The following is a 7,246-nucleotide window of genomic DNA, read 5'->3' on the forward strand; positions in this document are numbered from 1 at the left end:
CGCTCTGTCGCCCAGGCTGGAGTGCAGTGGTGTGATCTTGGCTCACTGCAACCTCTGCCTCTTGGGTTCAAGCAATTCTCTGCCTCTTGGGTTCAAGCAATTCTCTGCCTCAGCCTCCCAAGTAGCTGGGATTACAGGCACCTGCCACCACCCCCAGCTAATTTTTGTATTTTTACTAGAGGCGGGGTTTCACCATCTTGGCCAGGCTGGTCTTAAACTCCTGACTTTGTGATCCACCCGCCTCAGCCTCCCAAAGTGCTGGGACTACAGGTGTGAGGCACGCACCCGGCCTGTGATAAATGACTTTATAAACACCAGAATCCTGTGTTATTTGATGGTCTGTCCTACTGAAGCCTTTTTCCTAAGGTTTCTCATGTGTAGAGCAAAGCCTTTTTATTTTTAGCTGTTACGGTCATAGACGGGTTGCACAGCAGTGAATGGGTTTGGACCTGAAATGCAGGAGCTTGATGTGAAGTTCCATGACTCATATCAGCCCCACATTCCAGAGTCATTTTCCAGGAACCCGAGATTCATTCTGTTCTCTCCCTTGGCTCATCATTCATGCCCAGGACATTGACGACCATCTAGATGGTGATGAATTCCAAGTTCATGTCTCCAGCCCACATCTCTCCTCTGCATATCTCCAAAGGTCTGCTCAGCCTCACCACTCAGATATTTCACCACATCCACCCCTCCAGCCTGGCCCACTCCTGGTGAATGGCACGGCACTCACTAAGTTATGCAAGTCGGACGTGTTGGAGTCCTCATTGACGCACCCGCCCCCTCAGAAATCCTCTCCTCAGAAATCTCTCCTCTCTCAAGTGCCTGTTTCTTTCACCTCCTCTGTAATTCTCACTTCCACCCCTTATTTCCAGCTGTTCCTACACTCTGTTTCCTGGCCTCAGACCCCAGCCTTGCATGCCTAAGCCAGCTTCATATTTGGTCCTCCTCTATTCAATCTACTCACCCAAACACTTTTCTATATGTAAATCTGATTGCGTCTCACCTTGTTAAAACCTATGGGTCCCAGTCTCCTTTAAGATAAAGACTGCATTCCTAAGGGTGCTCCCAAGGCTCCACCACATCGGGCCCCTGTCTGTACCTATCCTGGCTCCTCGTGCTCAGGTGCCCTTGTCCCCTTTGCATAGCATGTCCAAGTACTATGTCCCCACCCACCAGCTTCTGGCACCTGCCGCTCCCTGTGCCATCCCTGCCTCACTCCTCCTTCCTGTCTCAGGCATCTCCCTCTTTTGGTCACAGCTGCCCTGACCCTCAGCCTAGGCTGGGTGTCTGGCCACCTGCTCTTGAAGAGCCACTTCTTCCATGCTAAATCTCAGCCCCGCTTGGGATTATTTATTTGTTGGTGTCATTACTCAGACTTCTTGCGTCTCCCTGACTAGACTGGGCCTTCATGTGACCAGGGGCTGTGTCTGGTTTTGCCACTGTTGTACTCCCAGTCACATCCATGGTGCCTGGCATGACATGCCTGCATAATACGTACTCAGTAAGTGAATGAACCAACTGACTCACCTACAGAAAGGACCTTTGATGTCTCTCCCAACTCATCAGAATAATCCAAAATAGTCAGCTTTGAAGAAAAAAGGAGTATTTATTTGATACCACAAAGAATTCTAACAGAAAAGAATGCTCCAAATCTTCTAAGGCACATGTAATAGGAAGGCAGGTCTGGAGTGAATAGCTTGTCAAGTTAATGATTAGTTTGGTGTTTCTTTTGCTGTAGGATTATGACAAATGTAACAAGACTGTAGATATAATTGGCCCTGGTGCTTTGGCCTTACGTTTTACACTTATCAGTTTTCACGGAAGTAAATCTTGAATCCTACAGCTCTCATCAAATTGGATGCTGAAAGTGCAGTGACATCATAGCAATAATGATGTGGAGTATTTATGACCGAGCTTTTTGGTGAATGTGCTTGTAATGCATCTTCTGTTTAGTGTTACTAGAACACCAGCATAATTATTGGGCTGGTTATTTGTTAAAACGATTTAGACAAAAAGTTTAGGAGAAAATTAGGTGCCATCGAATGATAATCTGCCCCTAGCAGAGGATGATGAATAAATACATGAAGGTTTGCTCCCAGTGATTCAGAACTAATAATGAACAGGTAATAAACGAAGTTTTCAGTTATGCCTACAGAGAATAAGTGCGTCCTCTGAGCCGTTCAGACCTCTGAAACCAGTACTGGTTCAGAATAGGAGAAACTAGTTAATTTCCACATACTGTGATCACCTCAGGGGAAGCTCAGTCGGATTTTAGAACTCTCACAAAGAAATTGAACCCTGGTGTCCTGGATTAAACAAGAGTTAAGATCACAGTGAGAAGGGAAGAAGCCTGTGTGTGTGTGTGTGTGTGTGTGTGTGTGTGTGTGTGTGTTGGCCAAGGAAGAATTTGCAGGTAGATTTTAAGCCTTCAGTTTGAGCGCATAACTCCATTGACAGTAATGGGAATTGAATACGTAGCCAAAGAGAGAAAATGCAAACCAGTCCTCAGCACAGAGTATAAATTAGATATGTAAAAGAAAATGGAACGAGGGATTTGTGAGGTGAGTCTAAGAGCAGGAAGACATCTTGAAACATTAAGAAGCACTGCCTATTAAAGTCTGGAGAGGACTGAGAGATAGAACATGGCACACACAGATCCATAATCGTCCTCTCAACCCTCTTAATCCTGACGGACGGAGCATTATTCTCTAAGCAGTTCACGTAACTAAAGAAATAAATATGCTTTTCTTGATTGGTTTTGTTTGTTTATTTATTTTTGTTTTTGAGATGGAGTCTTGCTCTGTCCACCAGGCTGGAGTGCAGTGGTGAGATCATGACTCACTGCAGCCTTGACTTCCTGGGCTGAAGCAATCCTCCTGCTTCAGCCTCCAGAGTAGTTGGGACCACCCACTACCATACCTGGCTAATTTTAAAAATATTTTTGTAGAGATGGGGTCTCACTATGTTGCCTAGGCTGATCTTGAACTCCTGATCTCAGGCGATCCTCCTGCTTTGGCCTCCCAAAGTGCTGGGATTCCAGGTGTGAGACATCAGACTCAGCCTGTTCCTGGTTTCTATGCTTGGAACATCTTATATACAAATGGACATTTTTTTGCCTTGAATTAGAGACACAAATTGAGCTTAATAAGGAAAGGGAGTACATTAGTTAACTCCAACTCACTAACAGCTTCAGCTTTTTAATATTTTAAATAAAGAGAAAATCTCTCCCTTCATTTTCTTTCATCAGGCTGTGCCCATTCCATAATGGTAAATTTTAATTCATTTTGGCCAAATTTTGATCATTTTGACTCATTTAGAAGGTCAAGGAAGTAGAGTGTGTCAGGTTGATTTATTTCCCCTATAAATTCTCCAGATTGTCTGTTAGAGGGATTTATGGACATAAGTCGTACCTACTTTTTTAGTTACTATATGCCTATACCTTTTATTCTGATTTCGGAGAGGGAATGTCTTTGAAATAAATCTAAGAGAGTAGCTCCCAAACCAAGATGATTAATAAAATCACTTGGGGAGCTTTAAAAATATACAGATCCCTGGATATCCTATCATATCTACTGAATCAGAGACTCTGGTGGTTGGAGCCAAGGAGAAAAGGTCCCCAGGAGATTCCGATGCAGTCCCTCTGGACTGACAACCTCTCTCCCAAGACAATGGCCTGAAGGAAATCATTGCAAGTTCATGTTCTAGCATGTTAGAGGAAGGAAAGTTAGACTTGTGAAGAAACTAAATATCTCCAAGTCCAATTCAAACTCCTTTAAGTCACCAGAGGATTTCAAGTTCTTTCTTTGGGGGCAATTCAGGTCCAGGGTGTAACTGGGCCTTTAAGACTTCAGTTTTCCTTGAGTGGTTCCGGGTAGCTGCTTCCCTGTAGGAACATTCTACTCTACCCACTCTGCTCTGCATCCCAAATCCAGGGAATCCTTCAAGGCTCAGCCAAAGATCACCTCTTCCATGAAAACAGCAATGACTACATGAGCTTTTTCTCCCTCCCAGACTCCCCTGGGCTAGTCAGAGGCGTATAATTTAACACTTAATTGTTTTCTAATTGCTTCCGATCTGTTCTGTTCCCTCACCCTATTATAAGCAGCTCAAGGGTGGAGACCATGGTTCTCTCTCAGTGTCTTTAACAAGGCTGGTTGCCTGCCTGGCTCACCATTGTGGCCCCAGAGGCCCAGGCTGGCATGAAATTGGCTCTCCATGAATATTTGTTGAATTAATGAATTTGTTGCTGGAATGAGTATTGGAACATTTAGTCAGAAAATCATGGCCTGAAAACAAATCACCTCATAACATGCTCCATTCTATTCCATTCGACCAACATTGAATCCGTAGGTATGGGGGTCCTCCTCTGTGCTGGGCACTGTCTGTCCTAGGTGCTAGGAACAGAGCAAAAATGTCCTTGATTGATGCACTAAGTGTGAACTTGTAAAGGAGGGTAAATTAAAAGCTTTTGAAAATGGAATTGCTTGGCTGGGCGTGGTGGCTCACGCCTGTAATCCCAGCACTTTGGGAGGCCGAGGCGGGCGGATCACCTGAGGTCAGGAGTTCGAGACCAGCCTGACCAACATGGAGAAACCCCATCTCTACTAAAAAATAGAAAATCAGCCAGACGTGGTGGTGCATGCCTGTAATCCCAGCTACTCGGGAGGCTGAGGCAGGAGGATCGTTTGAACTTGGGAAGTGGAAGTTGCAGTGAGCTGAGATCATGCCATTGCACTCCAGCCTGGGCAACAAGAGTGAAACTCAGTCTCAAAAAAAAAAAAAGAAAAAAGAAAATGAAATTGCTCTTTCAACTCCTGGAAACTATGAAAAACAGGTCAGAGATCATTTCAATAACAACCATAGCTCAGAAAACATAGGATGATAGTCCAGTGCCAGTAATTGGGTGTTGCAAGATTGTAGTTCAAAGTAGTCCAATGTAGGAGACAGAACCACAATGAGAACTGTTTTTCTTCCCTTCCAGAGCCTTCCTCACCACATATTCAGACTGACGGAGGCCTCTACAAACGGGGCATTGTGGCTTGTTTTAATTTTGAATGTATTTTATGTTGAAAGTTTAGCTCTTTGGCAGCATGAACCAGACAGGCAAACCTTACCCATTGGCCCTTGGTGTCCTTTGATGTTTTCCCATTTCATGACAGAATTCTAGAGTCAAGATGTGAAGACCTCACACTAAGCAAGTTGATTTGAAACCACCCAAGACTTGGCGATTTGTCTAAAGAAATAATATTATTAACTTTGCAGAAGAGACTTCTTTTCTATTAGCAGTGATTTGGATTTTTGTAATGTGGTGGGTCAGTCTGTCCTTCCTGCTCCATATTTTACTTGCTAGCATTGGCTTGTCTTTCTGTGCACACGTTAAAGTCAGGAGTAGGCATTTCAGCCTAACCCAACGCCACCCTTTCCTCAGCACACGGCTTCAGCTCTGGCTCGTGGTAATTACCTAAGGAACTGATTGCAGGGAGAAGCAGCCCACTGAGATGTCTACTGCCAAGTAATTAGGGCCAGAGAAGTTCCACAGACCATTAGTGTCACTTTGGGGAACAGGATTTTACAAACATTGTGGCAGGCACTTGAGCTGAAGTCCTGTGTCTTTTTAAGGAGGAATGAACCTCAGGAAAAGAGAGAAAAGAGGTGAGACACAAACGAGAAACGATGGAGAGAAATTAATTCAAAAAGGAATATGGAGGAAAGGTAGAAAGAAACAAAGAGCGCCTTAGGTTTAGGTAGTTTTCTGTTTATCCAAGGAGATGGCCAGTGTATTATTCATTTAGAAGATTAGTTAGTTTTTTGACCCTGTGTCTGTCCCTGAATCAAGGGGTGCCTGTCACACAGGAAGGGAAGTTTTGCTAGGCAAAATGCTAACCAGATGACACCCCCAATTTGTTTCACATTGGCTTCCGGGGATTGGGAGCTCCTTACTCTAATGCGGTCCCTGGAGTCCCTGGCATGCGACACCATATAATAGAGCCCTCTGGTGCTTCATCTAAGTCATATTCTACAGGGGTCCAAGTCATTCTTCCTAGCAAAGGCATCCTGGTGAAGTTGCGGTAATTATTTTGAAGCATTAATAAAATGTATTCGGTGTCAACAAATGGTCTTATGCTGTAGGGGTGAGATGGGACTACGAGATGCGGGAAAATTAATTGTTTCCTGTTATCGTGCTCAAGATATATTTGCATATATCGTTTTTCTGGTTACTTTGAATAGAGGCACCACTGCAGTGCACCAAGGCAAAGGTCAGAAGTATCTCTGTGTAAAGCCCAGCATGGATCTCTGGCCACCTGTACCCCTGAGATTTTCTGATTTGATGTCATTGATATTTTCATTAGGAACGATTATTATATGACAAAACAAATAAGACTTTGTTATTATACCTTTTTAAGACCTGAAGATGAAACAAATCAGAAAAATAAAATGATGATAGTCTGTGCTGAGATTTTTGTCTCAGAAACTGGGTCATTCTCAGAGACCTCAGAAATCTTAGGCTAGGTACCCCCAAATTGACTCTCTCTCTCTTTTTCTCTGTCTTTCTCTCATCTATCTATCATCATCTAGCATCATCATCATCTATTATCTATCTATATCTAATCTATCTACCGTCATCTATTTATTTGCCTATTTCCATAGCATTTGATTCCTCACAGCAAGCTGTCTCCCTGGGTTCTGGGGAATTCTGCTTAACTTCCTCACTTCTCATGGCAGAGTCCGGCAGTGGTTTGTAATCCCTGACATTGTTCCTTGGGGCAGTAGCCTTGCTCCTTGGTGTTTTAGACCTTCTGAAAACTCTGAAAGCCGAGGCCCAGCCAATCAACACCTCAGTGGGGGTTGTGTTAGAATTGCCTCTGTTTGATTTGGTCAATATAACTTGTCTCGGGAACAACCTGTTAGTTCCCCAGCTTGAAAACAATTCTACTTGCCAAGTTCCTGCTGACAGGCTGTGCTCCCGCGCAGCGCCAGTGGCAGCCAGCGATTCACCTCCAGGGTCCGGGGGGTGGCTCTGTATGAGACGAGACCCCGGGATCACAAGAAGTCAGAGGTGGGGCTGGGCACTGCATGTGCCAACAGATTTATACTCTGGCTTCACCTTGGCGCTGCCTGCTGGTCTCCCAAGCCCAGATGCCCCCTCATCTTTCCTGTACAAGGGCCCTGTGGGCACTTTGTACCTCCTTCCCCAATTGAACCAACCTTGAAATCATTTGTTAACACTACTGTCACCCACCAG

At 44.5% G+C, this 7,246-nt stretch overlaps 1 annotated feature.

The window, feature by feature from the left end:
- Positions 6,497–7,026: an enhancer, noted in NCBI's record as "NANOG-H3K4me1 hESC enhancer chr13:31398576-31399105 (GRCh37/hg19 assembly coordinates)". NCBI's record gives its function as "activates a minimal SCP1, AML or CMV promoter by ChIP-STARR-seq in primed H9 embryonic stem cells {active_cell/tissue: H9 hESC(primed)}" and the evidence as "EXISTENCE:reporter gene assay evidence [ECO:0000049][PMID:30033119]".

This window comes from Homo sapiens, chromosome 13, assembly GCF_000001405.40.
Source record: "Homo sapiens chromosome 13, GRCh38.p14 Primary Assembly".
Taxonomy (NCBI): Eukaryota; Metazoa; Chordata; class Mammalia; order Primates; family Hominidae; genus Homo; species Homo sapiens.